At 36.1% G+C, this 25,839-nt stretch overlaps 1 protein-coding gene across 11 annotated transcripts in view; it reads right to left on the bottom strand.

Annotated features, from left to right (window-relative positions):
- TDRD5 (tudor domain containing 5) overlaps positions 1 to 25,839 on the bottom strand; it is a 99,660-nt gene that overhangs the window by 19,736 nt on the left and 54,085 nt on the right. For 6 of the 11 annotated variants that reach the window (NM_001349923.1, NM_001199091.2, XM_047447752.1 and 3 more), the window contains 5 exons: positions 20,470 to 20,670; positions 19,340 to 19,498; positions 9,251 to 9,433; positions 8,046 to 8,189; positions 2,133 to 2,343 (listed from right to left, as the gene is read on the bottom strand). In NM_001349923.1, coding sequence (NP_001336852.1) covers positions 2,133 to 2,343; positions 8,046 to 8,189; positions 9,251 to 9,433; positions 19,340 to 19,498; positions 20,470 to 20,670 — 898 coding nt within the window. Of the gene's footprint in view, positions 1 to 2,132; positions 2,344 to 8,045; positions 8,190 to 9,250; positions 9,434 to 17,174; positions 17,337 to 19,339; positions 19,499 to 20,469; positions 20,671 to 25,839 lie in introns of all 11 variants that reach the window. The other 5 variants (XM_047447750.1, XM_005244934.2, NM_001199085.3 and 2 more) reach the window with 1 other exon arrangement.

The raw sequence follows: 25,839 nt of genomic DNA, 5'->3' as shown, positions 1-25,839 counted from the left end.
TATACATAAGAAGTACAGTATAACTGAACAACTTACATTCTAATGAAAACTTTGTTGCAAAACAAAAAATGTAGTATGTGGATAGACTTAATATTGTTAAGATGAGAATTCTCCTCAAATTGATCTACAAACTTAAATTTAAAAAATCAGATCAAAATCTTAGCAGGCTTTGTGCAGATACTGACAAGCTAATTCTAAAATTTATGTGAAAATCAAAGGACCTATAATAGCAAAACAACTTGAGAAAAAGAAAGTTGGAGGACTAACATTATGTGATTTCAAGACTTATTATAAAGCCATGGTAATTAAGATAGTAGTACAAAAACAGACATATAGACCAAGAGGACAAAATGGAAATTTTAGAAACAGATCCTCACAAATACAGCCTATTGACTTTTGGCAAAGGTGTCAAGGCAATTTACTGGAGATAGTCTTTTCAACAAATGGTGCTGGAACAAATGGACATTCAGATGCAAACAAAATAAACATTGATCCTCACATCATACCCTATACAAATATTAACTTGAATTGGATCTCAGACTTAAAACTACAAAAATTTTATAAGAAAATGTAGGAGAAAATCTTAGTTATTTGAGTTAAAGATTTCTAAACAAGATACACAAAGCTCAAATTGTAAAGAGAAAAAAATCAATAAACTGGACTTGAAAACTTTTGCTCTTCCAAAGATACTAAAAGGCAAGCCACAGACTGGAGGAATATTTATACCTGACAAAGAATGTGTATACAGAACAAAGAACTTCTACAGGTAGGTAAGAAGATAACCCAATTTAAAAAGTAAATAAATACTTGAACAGGCACTTAGCTAAAGAAGATATATGAATGGCAAATAAGCACACAAAAAAGATGGTGAACATTGTGGTAAACAGGAAAATGCAAATTAAAACTACAATAATATACCACTACATACCCAACAGACTGGCAAAATTTAAAAAGATCGACAATAACATCTACTGGCAAGGATGTGGAGTGCTTGGAACTTTTATTCCTTGCTGGTGGGACTGCAAATTGGTGCAATCACTTTAGAAAATTTTGGCAGTTTCTAAAAAGTTAAACATGCAGTTACTGTATGACCTAGCAAATCGACTCCTATGTGTGTGTACATATATAATTTTTTTTTTTTTTTTGAGACGGAGTCTCACTCTGTCACCCAGGCTGGAGTGTAGTGGCACGATCTCGGCTCACTGCAACCTCTGCCGCCTGGGTTCAAGCAATTCTCCTGCCTCAGCCTCCCCCAAGTAGCTGGGATTACAGGCTCCTGACACTGTGTCTGGCTAATTTTTGTATTTTTAGTACAGATGGGGTTTCATCATCTTGGCCAGGCTGGTCTTGAACTCCTGACCTCGTGATCCACCCACCTCAGCCTCCCAAAGTGCTGGGATTACAGGCGTGAGCCATCGTGCCCAGCCTCTTATGTATATCTTTAATAGAAATAAAAACATACGTCTACAGAAAGAGCTATGTGCAAATGTTCATAGCAGCTTTATTCATAATGGTCAAATTCTGGAAACAACATAGGTGTCCATTAACTGGTAAACAGGTAAATTGTGGTATATCCATGTAACTGAATACTATTCAGCAAATAAATAGGAGCAACTTTTTGATACTGGCACAACATAAACGAAACTCTAAAATATTACCATAAGTGAAAGAAGCCAGCCAGACATAAAAACTACACATAATTCCATTTATATGAAATTCTAGAAAAGGGAAAGTGACATGCCAGAGGCAAGTAGGCAATGGGACTGACTGCAAAGGGGCACAAGGAAACTTTTCAGGCTGATGGAAATGTTATCATGATTATGGCTGTGATGACGAGACTATCAATTTGTCGAAACTCAAAGAACTATACACTTGACAACCAGCAAATTTTACTCTATATAAATGGGACGCCCCACCCCTCCGGCAAAAAAACAAAAGTGCAGAAAAAAAGAAGAGTGGCAAAGTTAAAGGAACAATTGAGCCCAAACATAAAACAAGGACTTAACACAAATGCTAACGTCAGTAATGTTTCAAGGTATATTTTGCAAGGGATAAATGAAGGTTTGTTTTAGCAACATGGCAAACCATCATGTTTGTCAACTGTGAGCATGCACAAGTACACACAAACATACCAGAACCAGAGGGCTTTTCTGCGGAATCATCCACTGCAGTTGTTGAACAGGGTGCTGCTGTGGAAAGCTGAATTTGCTTTGGCTGAGTCTGACTGTTGTTGGGTTCAGACTGGCTCCCGTCTGCTGACTGCTCTGACTGGGTAAGAGAGGTACAGAATTCTTCCAATTTGGGCAGTGTGGAAGAATCTGAAGAACCATTTATGTCTAGTTGCTGCAGAATGGGAAAAATGGGGCAAAAACATGAAAAGTGTTAGTATAAGAATAATTAAGCCCTATTTCCTTACTTATAAGCAAAATACAAATATTTCCATATTATAATAAATAAATAAAACTACTCACTTTCAAGAACCTAGATACTCTCAGCCGGGCGCGGTGGCTCACGCCTGTAATCCTAGCACTTTGGGAGGCCGAGGCGGGCGGATCACGAGGTCAGGAGATCGAGACCATCCTGGCCAACATGGTGAAACCCCGTCTCTACTAAAAACACAAAAAAAATTAGCTGGGCGTGGTGGCAGGCGCCTGTAGTCCCAGCTACTCAGGAAGCTGAGGCAGGAGAATGGCGTGAACCTGGGAGGCGCAGGTTGCAGTGAGCCGAGGTTGCGCCACCGCACTCCAGCCTGGGCGACAGAGCGAGACTCCATCACAAAAAAAAAAAAAAAAAAAGAACCTAGATACTCTCTAGAAAAAGCAAGTCCTTCTCTATCCTAATGAACATAAATTCAATTCAAGAAACATTTATGGAACACATCCCATAAGCAAACAGGGCACTGAGTGCTACCATACACAGGCTGGGAAAGAGGGGCAGGGCACGAGAGAAGTGATGTTCACTGAGCACCCCGTGTCGGGCACAGTGCTAGGTTATCTGCATGTGTTTCTTCATTTGAACATCAGAACAGGTGTCCTAGGTAGGTGATACTACGTCTTCTTTCACTTAGCATAATGCTTTTACAGAGTGGTTAAGTTATCCAATGTCCATCAGTAAATGGCAGGGTGCAGATTTGAACTTAAGCCAGTCTATGTTCTCTGTGCTCTACCACACCACCTCCCAGTCAGACAGGATCCCTGTCCCTAAGGGGCACTCAGTCCTCAGTCAGGGAAACTGTGTGTGTGCAGCTAGCCATGAAAGGAGGCAAGAGCTGCATGCTCCTCAGAAGGGACAAAAAGGCCAGGGTTTGAGAGAAAAAGATGAACTTCCAAACTGAGATTGAACTTGAGCTTAAATGAAGGGAGTGCCAAATTTTAACCATTATGAATTAGACCCCATTTCCTACCATATAGTCATTGCTGAAGTAAGTGTACTCTATGGTCATTTAATAGCATTGATCTTTGGTGATGTCAACTGGCATTAACATGAGTAAAGAGGACCCCATCAGACCAAGCTGTAACAAGCTGAACTAAGTGGTTTATCGTCTGGGATCTGCCTAGAGCAAACTGAAACAATAATTGTACAAACAGATGTAGGCTTGTTTTTCTGGCTCATATGCATCACACATTTAATATCAGCAAATGTTCCTTCTGTGGCAAAAATCTATAGCTGCTCACTTTCAAAGATGGCTGGCATGAATGTGGCTTATATAATTATATAATATATAAATGCCTGTGTGTATAACCTTTCTTGGTTGCAAAAAAGAAATTCTAAAACTCCAGATAGCTATACTGGGCCATACAAGATGTTATTTCAGGAAACCAAAGACCTGGACTCAAATTTTTGCATAGTTTATGCAATTCACATGTATACTTGAACTACCTTTTAAGTTTATCTTCACTTAAAATGAGGCTGAGAATGAGTGAATTCTTTCAATAAGCTGCAATAATAAGTAAATCAATATTAATATCATAAATTTTTTAAGCTGGGGAGATTACTAGTTCAAATCAGTCTTCACAGGTGGACAAGCTCAGGGCACAAAAGGTAACTTGTTTAAACTTGCTAGTCAGTGGTAAAGACTAGGCCCTAGATTATAGCACTCACAGACCAGTGCTTTTTACATTATGCCCTACTGCCTATGTTTAGCTGTTTAATAGATAATATACAGAAACATTTTTAAAAAGCTATATCTTCTTTCTTGACAAATATGATTTAAGAAAGATGCACTGTTGACACATATTTAAATGCATCCTGATAGCTTTCACTCTGAATTTCACTTTAAATTTGTATCACATCTGAAAGCAAGTATGTGTAGTAAATTTAAGCAATTAGTTGAAAATAAGTCTTCCCCTTCTAACAGTAACCTAGAGCCTTACTACTCAAAAGTGGTGTTCACTCATCAGCAGCATCAGCATTAGTTGGAAGCTTGCTAGACATGAAGAGCTTTGGTCCCTACCCCAGATATGCTGGATAAGAATCTGCATTTTAACAAGATTCCCAGGTGACCTGTATACACATTATAGTTTGAGAAGCACTGCTCTACCAGATTTATTCTTCTGTAGTTATAAATGACTGACTCCCTCACAGTTGTTTGGAAATACACCAAGATGGAACTACAGGTTAGTCTCAACAAACATGTTCATGATTTATGAAACATGAACAAATGCCCCAAATCACTTCACATCCACTAGAATGGCTATAATAAAAAAGACATGATTACAATTGTTGGCAAGAACAGCAAATGTTGACATGGACAAACTGGAGTACTCTTAAATTGTTGGTAGGAATGTAAAATGGCACCACTGCTCTGGAAAATATCCTGGTAGTTCCTCAAAATGTTAAACATAGGGTTGCCATATGCTTATCTAGTTACATACTAAGATAAATGAAAACATGGGAAGGAGTAAGAAAACGGCATAGGGCAGAACTCTGGGAGACACCACAGGGAGCAAGCCTACAAATTACGTCGGGAGGTAGGAGGAAAAAAGATCATGGCATCACAAAACCCAAAGGAAGATTATGTTTCAAGAAGGAACACAAGATTACTTTCAAATATTGCTGAGCAATCAGGTACTGTAAGGTTAAAACATGCCAACCTAATTTAGCAACATGGGAATAGATGGTGACTTGAAGGATAATCACTGTAGTATTGTTTAAAGTCACATGAAATCTTAAAAATAGATATTCATCAGAACTATTTAAATCAGTGTGGCATATCCATACTCTGCAGGAGTTTAAAGCAATGAGGTAGGTTTGTAAGTATTGAAATGGAAAGGTGCTGAACAGTATGTGTATCATGTTCTCATGTATGTGTTTAGTTTCTAGGAAGGATACACAAGAAACTGCTTATGATGGGAGTTGGATTAGAAGAGGCAAGGATATCTTATTTCCGTAACTTTCAGAACTACTTGAATTTTAAAATCCTGCATATGTAGTACTTTCATAATTTTCAAAAGCAAAACATGTTTGTCTACATAGGGGATGAAAAACAAGTGTGGTAGCTAGAGAGGACTTTGGGATTAAAAAAATTTGGAATGTTTAAATTTTGTTTAGACGGAAGGTACACTAACATGTTTAAATGCTTATGAGAACACTCCAGTAGAAAGAGGCTGAAGATACAGACAGCAGGAGAGGACTGTATCCTAAGCATACTTCCAGTCCCAAGCCTTTTGAATAAGGGATATTCAACCTGCATGGTAAGTACAGGTTGCTTTAGAATAGGAATAGAAAAAGGGGTAGAAAAAGAAAACTTTCTTAAGAAATATACCTTAAGGAGTTCATTATGATACAGTAAAGATTTTACCTTTGTAACTTCTCTTCGTGGGGTATAAATTAATAGTATAAAACTACATGACAGAAAAAGTTTGAGGACTCAGATTTCCTGACTTCAAAACTTATTAAATAGCTAGAGTAATCAAGACAATGTGACGCTGGTATAGGAACAGACACATAGAGAATAGGATTAAGAATCCAGAAATAAACCCTATCTTTATGTCAGCTGATTTTCAATAAGGATGCCAAGACAATTCATGGGGAAAGAATCATCGTTTCAACAACTAGTGCTGGTACAGCTGAATGTCCACATGCAAAAGAATAAAGATGGACTCTATCTCACACCATAACAAATTAACTCAAAATGGATCAAAGGCCTAAATGTAAGAGCTAAAATTATAAAATGCTTAGGTGAAAACACAAGTGTAAATCTTTGTAACTTTTGGTCAGACAATGGCTTATTAGGGGAGACCAAGAGCTCAAGCAACCAAATAAAAAAATCGATTGGATTTTATTAAAAACAAACTTTTGTGCTGCAATGGACACCATTAAGTGAAAAAGAAAAACAGAAGAGTAGAAAATTTGAAAATAATATATCTCATAAGGGACTTGTAATATGATATTTTCTTATATCTGAATAACAAAAGACAACCTACTTTTAAAATGGGCAAAGGATCTGAATATCTTGTCAGAGAAGATAAATCACCAATAAGCACATGAAAAGACACCCAACATCATTAGCCATCAGGGATATGGAAAGAAAACCCTTCATATCCACTAGCATGGCCATAATCAAAAGAACAGGCAATAAGTGTTGGTGAAGATATGGAGAACTGGAACCCTCATACACTGCTGGGGGGTACATAAAATGTTGCAGCCACTTTGAATGACAGTATGCCAATTCCACAAAATGTTAAAAGCAGAATTACCATACGATCCAGAAACTCCACTCCTAGTTATATATCTAAGAAAAACTAAAACATGTTCACAGAAAACCTTGTACTTGAACATTCTTAGCAGCATAATAGCCAAAATGTGAAAGCAGCCCAAATTCCCACCAACTGATGAATGGATAAATAAGATGTGGTATATCATAGAAGGGAATATTATTCAGCCATAGAAAGGAATAAAGTACTGGTTCATACTACAACAAGGATGAATTTTGAAGACATTATTAATGCTAGGTGAAAGAAGACAATCACAGAAAACCACATACTGTGTGCCATTTAACAGACAAATCTGTAGAGACAGAAAGCAGATTAGTAAGTAGCTGCCTAAGGCTGTGAGAGGACAGGGAAGGAGTATGACTGCTAATGGTCATGGGTGGTTTTTTTTGAGAGCGTGATGAAAATATTCTAAAATAGACTGTAGTGATAGCTGCACAGCTGTGTATCCTAAAAACATTGAATTGTGCATTTTAAATAGTGAATTATAATGGTATATCAATTATATTCCAATAAAGCTGTATTTAAAAAAAAAGACAAGAGAAACAAAATATAAAAGCCTACTTTATCCTGAAACTAAATTCATGCATTAAGTAAGCTACATTTCTGGAAGAGACCATTCTATGAAATACAGAATGACTTTATCATTCTCATACAAAAGTAACCACAGTCTGAAGGAAATGTGTCACTTAGAAGGTTCATCTTCCCTAGATCTGCTTTTGAACAAGTCTTCTAGACTTAAGCTCTTTATTTTCAATGTAACACACCAAAGTAAAGAGGCCTGGCAGCCAAATTTCGTGATTCACAGACATTGTCCTGCTGCTTTCAGGATGCTCGTAATATATTCAGGAAACCTGAAACAATTAGATTCTATGCCAGGATTACTGCTTTCTGCCAAAGCAATGTGAATGAAGAAACCAGTCTAGACTATGCGACAAATATAGAGCTTAAAATTATGACTAAGTTACAGGAAAATCCCAATTTTCTGTATCTCTAAGAGAGGTTTAATCATTTTTAAAATTCTAGGCTCAGGATTCTCTTCTGAAGCAATAAGTAATTATGTTTTCATTTTAAAATCAACATATATTTTATGTATATGTATTCTACAACTGCTGAGAGAGGTCATTAACCACAAGTATTCTGGGGTGCAAATCCACTCATAACTCTAGTACAAAGCCCAGAAAGTCAAATTTATCATCAACAGTAACAGCTACAGCAAGCTGTTAAGAGACAGGCAATATCAAAATATGTAAATTGAGACAATTTTGCTTTCTAAAAATGAAAGGACTTCCTTATGCAAACCTGTCCCAATAACCTGCATTAGACATTTACCTTTTGAGTCCTGTTTGTGCCAGTATTTTTTTCCTGAGCACCCAGTACTTCTGGCTTATGAACTTCTACTTTCGTTCCATTTACAAGGCCTGAAGGCTGCCAAGAATCATCCCATGTATCTTTAGGGGTAGAAAAACACCAGTCCTATAATGAAAAAATGGCAACAACAGACTGAGATAAAGTGCAACATGACCCAAAAAGAGGATAACTTGGGCAAGATAAATGCAAGAAAGCAATACATATTTTTAAAAAAGGTATTTATTAACTTTCTATATCAGTTTGACTTTCCTCCTTGCTTTATTGGTCCATACCCAGTATCTTGAACTCTGAACACATGGATCTCAAAAATAAATACAACTCTGTTTGTAGTCTTTCCTTTAATATCTTTTTCATGGCTAGATGATTTTTTTCATGATCACCTAGTACTTAAATAGCACAAACATGAAGGAGCAACATAATTTCAGATACTTATTCTTATAGCCAGTGGAAAATAAATTTCAAATATATATAGTTAGGCCTAATATTAGCAAATATGCTGACTCCAGAAATCCAGGGGTTATATTACAAGGCTAAAGCAACAACAGTAGAATTAGAGAAAATGGTTTCTTTCATTTATTTATAGATCCTAAGGGCCTTGACTAGGGGCCAATGATAAAACAAAAATCACAATGATTAAAAGGGCAGATATGCAAAAATTGGCCTATGGTTTATTGTCCCATGATGAATCCTCTGTCCCACTACATGTCACTGCCATTTTTTAAAATCATGTATTCTTTGAATTATGGCCTGATAAATACTTTTGAATTCCAGAATATATAGCTTTCTTGGACCTAGACAATTAAATTTAAATTTCCTTTTCTCAGTACTGATTTGCTTTCTTTTCCTATTTTTTTTTAGATAGGGTCTTACTCTGTCACCCAAGCTGGTGGAATGTAGTGGCATGATCTTGGCTCACTGCAACCTCCAGCTCCCAGGCTCAAGCACTGATCCTCCTACCTCAACCTTCCAAGTAGCTGGGAGAGCAAGTGCACACCACCACACCTGGCTATTTTTAGTAGAGACAGGGTCTCACCATGTTGCCCAGGCTGGTCATGAACTCCTGAGCTCAACTGATCCACCCACCTTGGCCTCCCAAACTGCTAGGATTACAGGCTTGAGCCGCAGTGCCCGGCCTGATTTGCTTTCTATTTTTCCAAGGATCTAACCTTCTGTGGCATTTCTTTACATGATGAATACTGATTCTTTCCACCAAGGCTTGCAGTAAATAGATGGGAGGCAGCATCACCTCCTTTTCCCATCTTAGCCTGTAGAGGTAACCAGTTCTCATCCCAAATATCATCACCTATGGTCACTGACTCCAGGCATGGCATTCCAGTGGGGATCTCATCCTAAAATGTAACAGAAGACAAAGAAAAACTATCATTTATAGTTCCTATATGAGCACATAAAATTTAGGTTTTATAGTTTTTTCCTGACTCCAGGTAAAGATGACAGTTTGAATTCACAATTTATTAATTTCCCTTCTGAAATGCCACCAAAATAATAAAGAGATTTAGGATATAATCTTTATAGTCAAAGAGAACAGAAGAGGAGAAAGCACCATCTACTTTCTGGGTACAGGAAAGCAGACAAGTGACAACCGATTAAGCAGTCCTGAGAAAGTGGAATCCTGAGCTTGTAGTGAAAAAATTGAGAAGCAACCCAAATCTATACAATATATACCTCAAAAACTCAGAAATTTGTACTAAAAGGTTTTTGGAATTGAGGGGGTAAAATGGGAATGAAAACAAGCACACTGGCTGAAAGTCTGTGTAAGCAGGACTTAGATCTCCAGATACTCTCCCCTATTCCAAGAACTCAGGCAACTACATCTCTTCTATCTGTCAGAAGACCAGAAATATTCTGGAGGGTAAAACTGAGGATGGAGCAATCATAATAAAAAATTATTAAGGAATCAAATGAAAGTTTTTATAATGAATATTGAGATCCCTGGCTGTCTTTTCAATAGCAGAACAGAAATGAAAGAATGCATGAACTTGAAGACAGATCCCTAGAAATGATAAAATCTAAACAAAAGAGAAAAAAAGATTGGGGGGAAAAAAACAAAAAAAACAACCAAACAAAAAACTCAAAACAGAGCCTCAGGGACTGTGGAACAATACCAAAAGATATAACATTTGTGTCATCAGAGTCTCACAAGGAGAACAGAAAGAATATAATGCAGAAAAATAATTTGAAGAAATATGGCTGAAAACATCCAAAATTTGGTGAAAGACATAAATCTACAGATTCAAGAAGTTCACCAAAACCCAAACTGGATAAACCTAAAGAAATCCATGCCCAGACAGGTTCTACTCAAGTTGCTGAAAACTAAAGACAAAGAACTATCTTGAATGTAGCCAAAGAAAAATAACACATTACTTATAAAGGAAGAACAATTTCAATTACTGTGGATTTTGCATCAGAAACCATGAAGGGCAGAAAGGAGAAGAATGAAACTGTTAAAGTGCTAAAAGAGAAGAAATGGGAACCCAGGTTTCTATATACAGCCAAAATATCCTTCAAGAATGAAGTAATAAATATATTCTCAATAAAGAAAACAGAATTCATGGTCAGCATACCTACTCAAAAATAATTGTTAAAGGAAGTTCTTTGGACAGAAAGGAGATATCAGAAGGAAACTTGGAATATCAGAAAAAGAAAGACCAACAGAAATGATAAATATCTGGGTATATATAACAACTATTCTCTTGAACTTTTAAAGAATATTCTTGAAGATGGAAAGCAAAAACTAACATCATAAATTATATGCAGGTGTAATATATAAGACAAGGATGGCATAAAGGAAAAAGGAAGGGGTAAAAAGATCTAAATAGTAGGGTAAGACACTGACATTCCAAAGTGGTAAAATGCTGACTAAGTACATTGTAAAAGTCAAGAATGACAAGTGTAATTCCTAAAGCAACCACTAAAAACACTATACAAATAGATATAATAAAAACACAGTACTTTGGGAAGTCAAGGTGGGCGGATCATGAGGTCAGGAGATTGAGACCATCCTGGATAACACGGTGAAACCCCGTCTCTACTGAAAATAAAAAAAAATTAGCCAGGTGTGCTGGTGGGTGCCTGGAGTCCCAGCTACTCGGGAGGCTGAGGCAGGAGAATGGCGTGAACCTGAGAGGCAGAGCTTGCAGTGAGCCGAGATTGTGCCACTGCACTCCAGCCTGGGCAACAGAGCAAGACTCTGTCTCAAAAAAAAAAAAAAAAAAAAAAAAAACCATAGTAGATAAAATGGAATACTAAAAAATGTTCAAATAACCTAAGAGAAGGCAAGAAAGAGGAGGCAGATGAATGAAAATCAGGGGAACAAACAGAAAAATAAAATGGCAGATCTAAAATAAAAACATATATATAATCACATTAAACATAAATAGTCCAAACCATACTAATTAAAATTCAGATTGTCAGAGTGGATTAAAAAATAATCAAACAAGGCTGAGCACAGTGGCTCATGCCTGTAATCCCAGCACTTTGGGAGGCCAAGGTGGGCAGATCATCTGAGGTCGGGAGTTCAAGACCAGCCTGACCAACATGGAGAAATCCCATCTCTATTAAAAATACAAAATTAGCCGGGCATGGGGCGCACACCTGTAATCCCAGCTACTCAGGAGGCTGAGGCAGGAGAATTGCTTGAACCCAAGAGGTGGAGGTTGTGGTGAGCTGAGATCATGCCATTGCACTCCAGCCTGGGAAACAAGAGCAAAACTCCGTCTCAAAAAAATAAATTAAATAAATAAATAAATAATCAAACTATATGCTGTCTCAAGAAACTTACTTCAAATATAATGACACAGGTAGGTTAGAAGGATGGAAAAAAATATACCAGGCAAGCGCGCGCACACACACACACACACACACACACACACACACACACACACGAAAACTGGAATGGCTATACTGATATCAGTGCATTATGTACACTTCAGTGCAAAAAAAGTAATTGTGAATAAAGACATTTCATAATGATAAAAGGGTCAATTCACCAAGACATGTAAGAATCCTAAATGGATAACACCTAACAATAGAGCTTCAAAATGCACAACAGAAAAACTGACAGAATGAAAGGAGAAATAGACAAAATCCAAGATTACAGTTACAGACTTCAGTGTTCTTCTCAGTAATCAACAAAATCGGTAGATAGCAAGGATCAGAAGAACTGAACAATACCACTAATCAATTGGATCTGACATTTATAGAAACTCCACCAAACAACAGAATACATGTTTTTTTCAAAGACACATGGACATTTACCAAGCTAGACCACATCCTGTGTTGACAAAACAAACCTTAACAAATTTAAAGAACTGAAATCATACTGTGTTCTAAGACCATACTATACTGGAAAGACGTAACAGGAAGTTAACATGAAAATTTCCAAACACTTGGAAATTAAACAACACACTTCCAAATAATTCATGGGTGAAAGATAATATCTCAAAATAAACTATAAAATATTTGAACTGAATGAAAATGAAAATACAATATGTTCAAATTTGTGAAATGCAGCTAAAGTGATATGTAGAGACTCATAGCATCAATGCTTATATTAGAAAAGAAAGGTCTCAAATCAATAAAGTAAACTTCCATCTTAAAGAAATAGAAAAAGAAAGCAAAAATAAACCCAAAGAAAATAAAAGAAAGAAATCAACGAACTTGAAAACAGAAAGACAAGAGATAAAACCAGTGACACCAAAAGCTTATTCTCTAGGAATGGGAAGTTCAATAAAATGGATAAATCTCTAGTAAGACTAATGAAAAGGGGAGAAGACAAACTGCCAATATCAGAAATGTAATAGGAGATTATCATTGCAGACCCTGCAGATAACAAAAGGATAATAAGGGAATACTATAAACAATGTTATACATATAGTTGACAACTTAGATGAAGTGAACCAATTCCTCATTTGATAACTTAAATGAGTCACTTCCTCAAAAACCACAAAATACCAAGACTAAGATAAAATAGCTGATTTGAATAATCTTATATCTACTAAAGCAATTGATTTTATAATTTAAATTCTTCTGGAAAAAAGTCTCCAGGCCCAGATAGTTTTATAAGGTAATATCAAACATTTTAAAAATTAACTTCTCTCCCTGAAAAATAACCTGATTTTATGTAACCTTTTCCAGAAAATAGATGAGCGAATACTTCCAACTCATTTTATTAGGACAGTATCAACCTGTACAAAGTGTACATCAATAAACAAATAAAGAAAACGTGGTATATATACACAATGTAACAATATTCAACCTTTAAAAAGAAGGAAATCTTGTAATTTGTGACAAAATGGATGAACCAGGAGGACATTATGTTACATGAAAGAAGCCAGATACAGAAAGAGGAATAACACATGATCTCACTTACATGTGGAATCTAAAAAAGCAGAGTGAAATAGTAGTTACCAGAGGCTAGGAGGTGGAGGGATTGGGCAGATGTTGGTCAAAGGACACAAAATTTCAGTAGACAGGAGGAGTAAGTTCAAGAGATCTGCTATACATCTTGGTAACTACAGTTAATAGTGACATATTGTATACTTAAAAATTGCCAGGAGAGTAGATTTTAAGTGTTTTCACCACAAAAAAATAACAAATATGTGAGGTAATGCATATGCTAAATAGCTTGACTTATACATGCTACAGTGTATACATATATTGAAACATGTTGTACACCATATATGCAATTTTACTTAATTAAAAAAACTAAGAAAATAAAGATCCACACAAACAACAAAAATAAATAAAAAGGAAATACAATTCTACATAATCTTTCCCAGAAAACAGCAAAGCGGGCAATATATTCAGATTTATTTTATGAGGCCAGGATTATCCAGTATAAAAACCAAAGACAATACAAGAAAACTACAGACCAATATCTCATGAAAACAGATATCCATTTGCATGTACTAACGCAGACAACATTACTGATACAGAAAATCACAAAAGAAACCAACAAAACACCCCCTAGAATGGATAAGTGAAGTTAGGTAGTTCAAAAAAACACCAATTTCTATATACTAGCAATTAAAATACAAAAACTGGGGAAAACATTTATAATAGCTCTCAAAATAAGTGAAATACTTAGGTATAAAATTAACAGAACATGTACAGATCCTGTATACTGAAAATTATAACACTGTTGAAGAAATAAAAGAAAACCTAAATAAATGGGGAGATACACCATGTTCATGGACTAAAGCATCAACTTTCCTCAAAATTATCTATATATATAACACAACTCCAATCAAAATCTCAGGTATAGATAAGCTGATTCTAAAATTTACAAGGAAAGAAAAAGGAACCAAAATATTAAAAACAATTTTGAAAAAGTATAAAATAGGAGGAATCATACTACCTGATTTTTTCTTTTTCTTGAGACAGAGTTTTGCTCTTGTCGTCCAGGCTGGAGTGCAATGGTGTGATCCCAGCTCACTGCAACCTCCCTCTGTCTTCCGGGTTCAAGCAATTCTCCTGTCTCAGTCTCCTAAGTAGCTGGGATTACAGGTGCCCACCACCACACTCGGCTAGTTTTTGTATTGTTTAGTAGAGACAGGGTTTTGCCATGTTGGCCAGGCTGGTCCTGAACTCCAGACCTCAGGTAATCCACCCACCTTGGCCTCCCAAAGTGCTAGGATTATAGGCATGAGCCACTGCGCCCAGCCCATACTACCTGATTTTAAGAGGTACTATGTAAGTCTACAGTAATCAAGACAATGTGGTAGTGATGAAGAGACAAACATATAGGTCACTGGAGAAGAATATAGAGTCTAGAAATAGACTTACAGAAATATGGACAATTGATTTTTGATAAGGCTTCAAAGACAATTCAATGGAGATAGGATAGTCTTGTCAACAAAGGATGCTGGATCAGTTGGACATCCACATGTAACAAAATGAAACCTAACCTAAATTTCATGCCTTATACTAAAATTAACTCAAGATGTCTTGATACTGGAAACACTGTCCATAATAGAAAACAAGTTGATACGTTAGGTTTTTTCAAAATTAAAAACTTCTGTATGAAAGACACTATCAAGAGAATGAAAAGACAAGCTACAAGTGAGAAAATATTTTTGAAAATCACATTATTTGACAAAGAACTAGTATCCTGAATATATAAAGAACTCTCAAAACTCAAGAGTAAGAAAACAACCCAATCAAAAAAATGGGAAAAAGACTTCAACAGAAATTTCACCAAGAATTGTGTATAGATGACAACTAAGCACATGAAAAGATGTTCAACATCATTAATCACTGGAATTTAAAATCATGCTGTGATACTACTACACACCTATTAAAATGGCTAAAGCAAAATTACTGACAATGTCAAGTGCTGACAAGAAAATGGAGCAACTGGAACTCATATATTATTGCTGGTGAAAATTCAAAATGGTACAGCCACTCTGGAAAAAAGTTTGACATACACTTATCACATGACCCAGCAATCTTACTCCTGGGTATTTACCGTAGATAAATGAAGCTTATGTTCACACAAAAACCTGTACATGAATATTTATAGCAGCTCTATTCATAAATACCCCAAACTAGAAACAACCCAAATGTCCTTCAATGGGTGAATGGGTATACAAACTGTGGTGTATTTATCCTATAAAATACTATTCAGCAATCGAAAAGAACATATTATTGATACATGCAAGAGCATGGATGAATCTCAAAGGTACAGAAATATACTGAATGAAAGAAGCCAGTCTCCAAAGGTTACATACTATATGATTCTACTTACATGACAGTCCTGAAAAGGTAAAACTAGAGTGACAGAAAACAGACCCCAGACCAGTTGCTAGGGGTTAGGGATGTGGGGAGACTGTGATTACAAAGCAGTAGCACAAGGGAGTTATTTTAGATGATGGAGCTGTTCTGCATCCCAATTGCAGTGTTGGTTACACAAATCTACACATTTATTAAAGTTGATAGAATAGTACACCAAAACAGTCAATTTTACTATGTGTTAATTTATAAAAGGAAAGAAATATTAACATGAAAAAAAGTTATGCAAGGGAAAAAAAGGTGTAACAGTGTACTATAATACTTGGCCAAGCCGTGAAGAGCATTTACATAGTCACAGTAATGTAAACATTGAATAGTGATCTGATGGAAAGTTTGATATACTATATCAGTAACATGGTAGGGGGAAGGGACAAAAAGGTTATGTTTGTGTGTGGTGGTGGTAAGGCGATGAAAGAGAACTAAGCCCTCATCTTTCACAGTGGGAAATCCACAGATACTTAAAACTGAAAAATCAGGAAATAACAAATAACAACATGAGGATGTTATTTAATGAAAGAAACAGAAGTAAATTCCAAAAGCAGCTAAAAGAGATAAACGTGGGTGCTCTGGGAAACAGGAAATATAGGGGAAGGAGTCATGGGGGATCTTAAGTTTTGTGTACATAAACATTTGATTAAAATAAAAATACATCCTCCAAAAAAGTTGTAAACATTTTTCCCAATGGGTTTTTCGTAATATAATTTCTCAATACTAGTTTCTAGCTACTGTATAATTCTTGAAGACCACCCCAAGTCACAGGATATTAACTAACACATCAAAGCCAGATACCTTTTTTTATGATCAAGGTTATATTGCTACAACTTTAGTCTTGGTTACTATGAACACATTTTTTTACTTATTTTACTTTATTTTTTTGAGACAGAGTCTCACTCTATCACCCAGGCTGGAGTACAGTGGCACGATCTCAGCTCACTGCCACCTCCACCTCCTGGGATCAGGCATTCTCAAGCCCCAGCCTCCTGAGTAGCTGGGATTACAGGCACATGCCACTATGGCTGGCTAATTTTTTTTGGTACATTTTGTAGAGACAAGGTATCATCATGTTGACCACGCTGGTCTTGAACTCCTGACCTCAAGTGATCCGCCCACCTCAGCCTCCCAAAGTGCTGGGATTACAGGTGTGAACCATTGCACTTGGCCTAAGAATTTGTAATACTAAAAGCAGTGGGGTTTAAACAGAGTTTATTCCAGTCCTCTTCACTTATGAATTCAGTGTATTATATTAATTACATATTCAAAGACTATCTTTCCTTCTCCTACCTCATTTTCTTCCTTCAGATCGTTTGGTTCTGGGTTGGACCACTTTGGATCTTCTTCAAAGCTCTTATTACAGGTTTTCAAAGACTCAAATTCAGAATCCTTTAATGGCTCCTTTGACTCAGATTTAAGATGACTTAAAGACTTTTCATCATTAATATCTTGCTAGTAGATATGAAAGAGAATTCCTTTATTTTAAATATTAATGCTGTTTCCAAAATCTACATGCCTATACATTTTGGGGGGAAGTTTTTGCTATGGTTCACACAAATGCTACATTATTTTATAGCTTTATCCATGATCCTAGGTCTTCCCATCCTGCTACCCTAGTTCCGGCCAATGAACATTTATTGAACCCTTATCATGAAATGTCTACAAGACAGCTCTGTGAATACAAAGATGAATGCAACAGATTCTGGCTCCAAAGGAACTAAAAAATGTTGTGGAAAGACCTAGAATCAGTCTTCCAAGTACAACCATCATAAAGATATGACAAAAATATGATTGATAGAAGAGGACATCTGAGAAGATGCAATGAAGAAGATAACACTTGAAAGATGAGTAGGAATTCACAAGGAACTGGGTGTAGAGGTGTAGGTGTGTGTGTAGCATATGGGAGTCTTAATATGTCAAAGTACAGACTAGGGTGGAATAGTAGAGTTTTAAGCCCTTTCTCTTTTGCAGAAAAGATGGTTCTTATTTCATTTCCAGAATAAAACTATGATTATTTGAAGACACCAACAGAGTGATAGGATATTCTAAAAATATTAAAGGTTGAATTCAATTTACTATTTAAGAATGAAGAAAAAGAATTCTCCTAGTCCAGTAATAATGACTAAGAAAAATTCAGGCTTTGGAAAGTGTTATGGGCATACAAGCTTCATTAATTTTAACATTAACTAGAAATCTAAAAATCTTTATATTGTTTTGAACATGCAGTAGGAAACATCGGTACATATTTTTCATAATAGGTAATCTCCCAGTAGTCAAAATGGCCTTTATCTTTTCTAATAATTAGTAAATGTCTACTTAAAAAATCATCTCTATAATTTTATTTTAAAAGTCAGATATACAAAACACACTAAACAAAATAATATTTTTACATTTTATTCAAAGAAAATAAAAAGACATTGTATCAATAAAACAAAACATTTTTGGCCCTCAAATTAAACACATCCTGTATTCTTAGCCCAGTATCTGTTGTCGTGAGGAATATAAGACTTGGAGGACATGGTTTATTTGTTCAAGAAATATTAAGTCCTCACTATATGCTTCACTTGCCTTTTACACATTGAGTATCCCTTATCCAAAATGCTTGGGACCAAAAGTGTTTCAGATTTTGGATAATTTTGGATTTTGAAACATTTGCATATACATGAGATATCCTGGGGATAAGACCCAAGTCTAACATGGAATTCATTTATGTTGCATATATACATTATATGCATAGCTTGAAGGTAATTTTATATAATATTTTAAATAATTTTGTGCATGAAACAAAGTTTGGACTGCATTTTGACTGCAACCTGTCATATGAGGTTAGGTGTGGAACTTTCCACTTGTGATATCATGTCAGGACTCAAAAATTTTGAGATTTTGGAGCATTTCAGGTTTTGGATTTGTGCATTAGAGATGTACAACCTGTCTTTATAATGTAGATATGAAAGTATAAACCTGGTAATTTGCTGTAAAGATTAAATTAGTTAACACATGTGAATGCTTTTAACAGTGCCTGCCATGTGGTACAAGTTCGATAAATAATGCTGTTGTTCTTATTACTGTGGGCTGGAAAAAATACATAATAACATTACAATATTATTATTACTGGGAAGGGAGGAGTTGCTGAAAGTTTACAGGGAAAGTAAGAAACGAGAATACCTGAAGAACCTGTGTACTGCAGAGGGAAGAAGAATAGCATTCAGAGGCAGTGTAGTGAAGTCACAACTGCACAAAGGCAGCAATGGAATTTACTATATGAGAGCAACTGTTCAGGAAGAGGCATGACTGAAGCAAACACTTAAGCCAGCAAATAAAGAGACAAATTGTTAAGATCACTGTGCAAAATTTCCAAACTTTCCAAAATTTGGAAAGCCTTGGTTTCTTCATCTAAAAAAATGAGGATTACAGTAATAAAAAGAATTATAATAGTATTTGCAAAAATCTCTTACCAAGATACGTAACTCACTCTCTTTTGACTGTGGACTTATCTTTCGGTCTTCATTAAAATAGTGCTGCTGGGAAGGATAACCCAGTTCTGTCAAGACAATGTCCTCTGGCCCTCCACTGGATGTCGTGTATAAAGCTAAAGGGTTGAGCTCACTGAAACCCTAAGATTAAAAAAAGAAAAGGGATGGTTTAATTTACATGACCAACAGAAAAAGGGCGAGAAAGCACTTAATAACTTTCAAATGCTATGGAAGTATATTATCTTCCAAATTTTATTTATTTATTTCGAGATGGAGTCTCGCTCTGTTGCCCAGGCTGGAGTGCAGTGGTCCAATCTCGGCTCACTGCAACCTCTGCCTCCCAGATTCGAGCAATTCTCCTGCCTCAGCCTCCTGAGTAGCTGGGACTACAGGCACGTGCCATCACGCCTGACTAATTTTTTGTATTTTTAGTGGAGACGAGGTTTCACTGTGTTAGCCAGGATGGTCTCGATCTCCTGACCTCGTGATCCACCCACCTTGGCCTCCCAAAGTACTGGGATTACAGGCGTGAGCCACCACGCCCAGCCTATCTTCCAAATTTTAACAGTTAAAAATGTGTCCATTATTGACAGTTTTTGCTAGTTACAAAAATTATCAACATACAGTGAAACAGATACTATCAATAATTGCAAAATAGGAGTGTTATTCTTCTCTAGGACAGTTTCAGATAACTTTTTATTTTATTATTATTATTTGAGACAGAGTCTTCGCCCTGTTGCCCAGGCTGGAGTGCAGTAGCACCATCTCGGCTCACTGCAACCTCCACCTCCCAGGTTCAAGCAATTCTCTGCCTCAGCCTCCCAAGTAGCTGGGATTACAGGTGACAGCCACCGTGCCTGGCCAGATAACTACTTTTTAAATTAATTATTTAAAATAGAAGTATTCACATTTCAAAGGACAATTAGTCAAATGCAGTTTTTCTGTGGTCATCTGAAAATTAAGAGTGCTCTGCATTAAAAAGCCAGGAATCTCGTGGATGTCTCTAATTGGTTAAAGAATAAACCAAATAAACTTCTTTATTAAATTATCTTATACCTTGACGTGGTGAAATTAAACAAAATATATTACAAAATACATCCAGACTGCTCCACCTTAGAAGAGATATTTTCTCGGCATACAATAGCATGGCCCTCTGTTCTCAAGACATGATGGAAATAGACATCTTCGTTTGAGGATGTGTCACACAAAAAAATGTTAAGGATTCCATCTACATATTCATCCACTACCCCCACTAATGGCTTCAAACCGCACAACTTCTGGAACTGCAAAATAGCTTTCGATGTCCAGTGTTCCTGAAATATGATCAAGATATTGGATTCAGGTGATAGATCTAAACATGAATTATAATAACCATATACAACAATGAATTCTGATGAACTAGAGATTTAAGTGGAAATAAAACCATAAAAGTACTAGAATAACACATAGGAGGATATATATGATTTGGGGATGAGAAAAGTCAGAATAAAGGAAAAATGATAAAAAATGTAATTACTGAAAAAATTTAAATAATTATGTGATGTGCAACTTCCATTTTCAGAAATTGTGAGTTAGATTATTAGACCAACCCTCCCACAGAAAACAACTAAAAATTCTAGGTAAAAGAATTATGAAATATATCCAAAAGGTATCAAAGAACTGACAAGCTTGAACAAATTATCAGGCCAAAATTGAAGGGAAAATGGGAACTACTTCTTTTGTCTTAAGGGTATCTGCTAATCCAGGCAATTTGAACTTTTTTTTTTTTTTTTTTTTTTTGAGACAGAGTCTTGCTCTGTTGCCCAGGCTGGAGTGCAATGGCGTGATCTCGGCTCACTGTGACCTCCACCTCTCAGGTTCAAGCGATTCTCCTGCCTCAGCCTCCTGAGTAGCTGGGATTACAGGTGCGTGCCACTACACCCAGCTGATTTCTGTATTTTTAGTAGAGACGGGGTTTCACCATGTTGGCCAGGCTGGTCTTGAGCTCCTGACTTCAGGTGATCCACCTGCCTTGGCCTCCCAAGGTTCTAGGATTACAGGCGTGAGCCACCAGATGGTCTAACAGGACAAACGAGACAGACATCAAAGCCAGGGTGCACCCATGGTGGAGAGTTTACAGGAGAACTTTCCTTCATTAAACTGAGTCCCTAAGGAGATACACTCTCAGGGTAAGGGAGGAAGAAAATAAATTATCCTTCACATAGATTTGCAGCTCAGTTTTCACATTACCAGGGTGGTCTACACATCCTCAAGTTGTTAATTTAAATTAATATGGTCCCAGACTGGTAATATTTCCAGATATCTGGCAGAAGCACATGTAAATCCTCTCTGGAGGTAGACAACCTCAGCCTTTATTATTCAACCATTCTTACAGTTAATTTTTCAAAGACAACGAGCAGTACATAGGCAAAGATAAAAAATATACAAAGAAACAATGAATCAAAAAAGAACAGAAACAATATAACAAATCCTCAATTTTAGATATTTTAATTTCTAGACAAATTATAAAACAACTAAACTTACTATGCTTAAAGCCACAAAACCCAAACAAAAACCAGTTTAGCAGAAATTAGCAATCTATAAAAATTGATCTAGCAGAACTAAGAAGTTTTAGAAGGTAAAAACATAATAACCCAAATTAAAAACCTCATAGGTTAATTCAGTAACAGATCAGATATAATTAAAGAGTAAATTGGTAAAGTGTGAGGTATTTTGAAAAAAATTTCCCAGAATGCAGCATGGAAAGACAGACAGATGTAAAATACGATAGAAAGGTTAAGAGAAATGGAAGAAAAACTGAGAAGTTTTAACACTTTTAATAATGGTCCCAGAAAAAAAGCAGCAGAGATAAGAAGAATACAAATATAAATATGGGAAATAGGCAATAATTGAAGAGATAATGGTTGGGAATTTGCAAGATTAAAAAAAAGTAACAAACACAAAAGAAGTCTGATGAACCATAAAGTAGCATAAATAATAAATTCACACATAAACACACCACACCAATACTGAAGAACAGGAGCGACTAATAGAAAATTTTAAAAACACCTAGAGACAGAAAGGACACTACCTTCAAAGGAACATCTATTAAACTGACAGCTGACTTCTCAGAAAACGATAAGGGAAACCAGAAGCCAGTAATGATATCTTCAATGTGCTAAAGATACTAACTGCTAACCTAGAATTCTATACTTAGTAAATCCATGTTTCTACAATAAGTGAAAAATAAATGATATTTTCAGATAAACACAACTTTGCTACCAGCTGACCCTCATTAAATAAAATCCTAAGGATACACAGTTCAAATGAAGGAAAATGGGTCCTGACGAAGGGTTTGACTGAAGAATGAAGAGCAGAGAAACTTGTAATCTAAATTGACATTATTTTTTTTATTGTTTTTTAGTATTTAATACTCTTTTAATCTTGGTCCACGTCTCATTTAGATAGATAAAATGACTTCCTGCATATTTAAGTTCAACAGTAGGAAGTTTGACTAAAAAACTCCAGAAGATTTTGATTTCTAAGTTTAAAATTTTTTTTTGTTTTTTTTTTCCTCAGGGTGGTTTGTTTCTTTTTTTTTTTATTATTATACTTTAAGTTTTAGGGTACATGTGCACAATGTGCAGGTTAGTTACATATGTATACATGTGCCATGCTGGTGCGCCGCATCCACTAACTCGTCATCTAGCATTAGGTATATCTCCCAATGCTATCCCTCCCCCCCCCCACCCCACAACAGTCCCCAGAGTGTGATGTTCCCCTTCCTGTGTCCATGTGTTCTCATTGTTCAATTCCCATCTATGAGTGAGAATATGCGGTGTTTGGTTTTCTGTTCTTGCGATAGTTTACTGAGAATGATGATTTCCAATTTCATCCATGTCCCTACAAAGGACATGAACTCATCATTTTTTATGGCTGCATAGTATTCCATGGTGTATATGTGCCACATTTTCTTAATCCAGTCTATCGTTGTTGGACATTTGGGTTGGTTCCAAGTCTTTGCTATTGTGAATAATGCCGCAATAAACATACGTGTGCATGTGTCTTTATAGCAGCATGATTTATAGTCCTTTGGGTATATACCCAGTAATGGGATGGCTGCGTCAAATGGTATTTCTAGTTCTAGATCCCTGAGGAATCGCCACACTGACTTCCACAATGGTTGAACTAGTTAACAGTCCCACCAACAGTGTAAAAGTGTACCTATTTCTCCACATCCTCTCCAGCACCTGTTGTTTCCTGACTTTTTAATGATTGCCATTCTAACTGGTGTGAGATGGTATCTCATTGTGGTTTTGATTTGCATTTCTCTGATGGCCAGTGATGATGAGCATTTTTTCATATGTTTTTTGGCTGCATAAATGTCTTCTTTTGAGAAGTGTCTGTTCATGTCCTTTGCCCACTTTTTGATGGGGTTGTTTGTTTTTTTCTTGTAAATTTGTTTGAGTTCATTGTAGATTCTGGATATTAGCCCTTTGTCAGATGAGTAGGTGGCGAAAATTTTCTCCCATTTTGTAGGTTGCCTGTTCACTCTGATGGTAGTTTCTTTTGCTGTGCAGAAGCTCTTTAATTAGATCCCATTTGTCAATTTTGGCTTTTGTTGCCATTGCTTTTGGTGTTTTAGACATGAAGTCCTTGCCCATGCCTATGTCCTGAATGGTAATGCCTAGGTTTTCTTGTAGGGTTTTTATGGTTTTAGGTCTAACGTTTAAGTCTTTAATCCACCTTGAATTGATTTTTGTTTAAGGTGTAAGGAAGGGATCCAGTTTCAGCTTTCTACATATGGCTAGCCAGTTTTCCCAGCACCATTTATTAAATAGGGAATCCTTTCCCCATTGCTTGTTTTTCTCAGGTTCGTCAAAGATCAGATAGTTGTAGATATGCGGCATTATTTCTGAGGGCTCTGTTCTGTTCCATTGATCTATATCTCTGTTTTGGTACCAGTACCATGCTGTTTTGGTTACTGTAGCCTTGTAGTATAGTTTGAAGTCAGGTAGTGTGATGCCTCCAGCTTTGTTCTTTTGGCTCAGGATTGACTTGGCGATGCGGGCTCTTTTTTGGTTCCATATGAACTTTAAAGTAGTTTTTTCCAATTCTGTGAAGAAAGTCATTGGTAGCTTGATGGAGATGGCATTGAATCTGTAAATTACCTTGGGCAGTATGGCCATTTTCATGATATTGATTCTTCCTACCCATGAGCATGGAATGTTCTTCCATTTGTTTGTATCCTCTTTTATTTCCTTGAGCAGTGGTTTGTAGTTCTCCTTGAAGAGGTCCTTCACATCCCTTGTAAGTTGGATTCCTAGGTATTTTATTCTCTTTGAAGCAATTGTGGATGGGAGTTCACTCATGATTTGGCTCTCTGTCTGTTGTTGGTGTATAAGAATGCTTGTGATTTTTGTACATTGATTTTGTATCCTGAGACTTTGCTGAAGTTGCTCATCAGCTTAAGGAGATTTTGGGCTGAGACAGTGGGGTTTTCTAGATATACTATCATGTCATCTGCAGACAGGGACGATTTGACTTCCTCTTTTCCTAATTGAATACCCTCTATTTCCTTCTCCTGCCTAATTGCCCTGGCCGGAACTTCCAACACTATGTTGAATAGGAGTGGTGAGACAGGGCATCCCTGTCTTGTGCCAGTTTTCAAAGGGAATGCTTCCAGTTTTTGCCCATTCAGTATGATATTGGCTGTGGGTTTGTCATAGATAGCTCTTATTATTTTGAGATACATCCCATCAATACCTAATTTATTGAGAGTTTTTAGCATGAAGGTTGTTGAATTTTGTCAAAGGCCTTTTCTGCATCTACTGAGATAATCATGTGGTTTTTGTAAATTGACATTATTTTATGCAATTTCTTGAGGGGTTAAAAATAACATTACACAACAAAAACAGGTTAGAAGAGGAGGGTAAAGGAGTTAAAGTGCTCTAATGTCCTTGCATTGTTATGCATGTTGTATTTCCTAGAGTAATCATTAAAATAATAGTGTATTTCTTAGTGAATTATTTTAAAGATCTCTTCAAAATAAGGCATGCATGGTGAGAAAAAGAATAGGTAGACCATATAGTATACACAAAATAAAGTGTAAGAGTTAAACCCAGATAATTCAATTATTACAATAAGTGTAATCAGCCTAAACATTCTGGGTGAAAGACAAAAGGTCTTAGCCTGGATTAAAAAAATACAACTATATAGTTCATAAAAGACATATCTAAATATAAAGATAGAGAAGGGTTCAAAGTAGAATGACAGTTTAAAAACACACCAGGATATTAAATAGAAAATGATAGTTATATTAACATCAGACAAAAGAAGTTTTTTTTTGCATTAGTAGAAATAAAGAGGTTAACTTCATAATGATAAAACATTCAGTCTGCCAGGAAGATATAACAATTTTGGTATTGTATATGTACCTAATAATATAGCCTCAATTGTATACAAAATAAAAACTGACTGAACTATAGGAAGAAATACACAAA

This window comes from Homo sapiens, chromosome 1, assembly GCF_000001405.40.
Source record: "Homo sapiens chromosome 1, GRCh38.p14 Primary Assembly".
NCBI lineage: Eukaryota > Metazoa > Chordata > Mammalia > Primates > Hominidae > Homo > Homo sapiens.
Note: the sequence above shows the minus strand (reverse complement) of the source record. Positions and strands in the feature narration are given on the sequence as shown.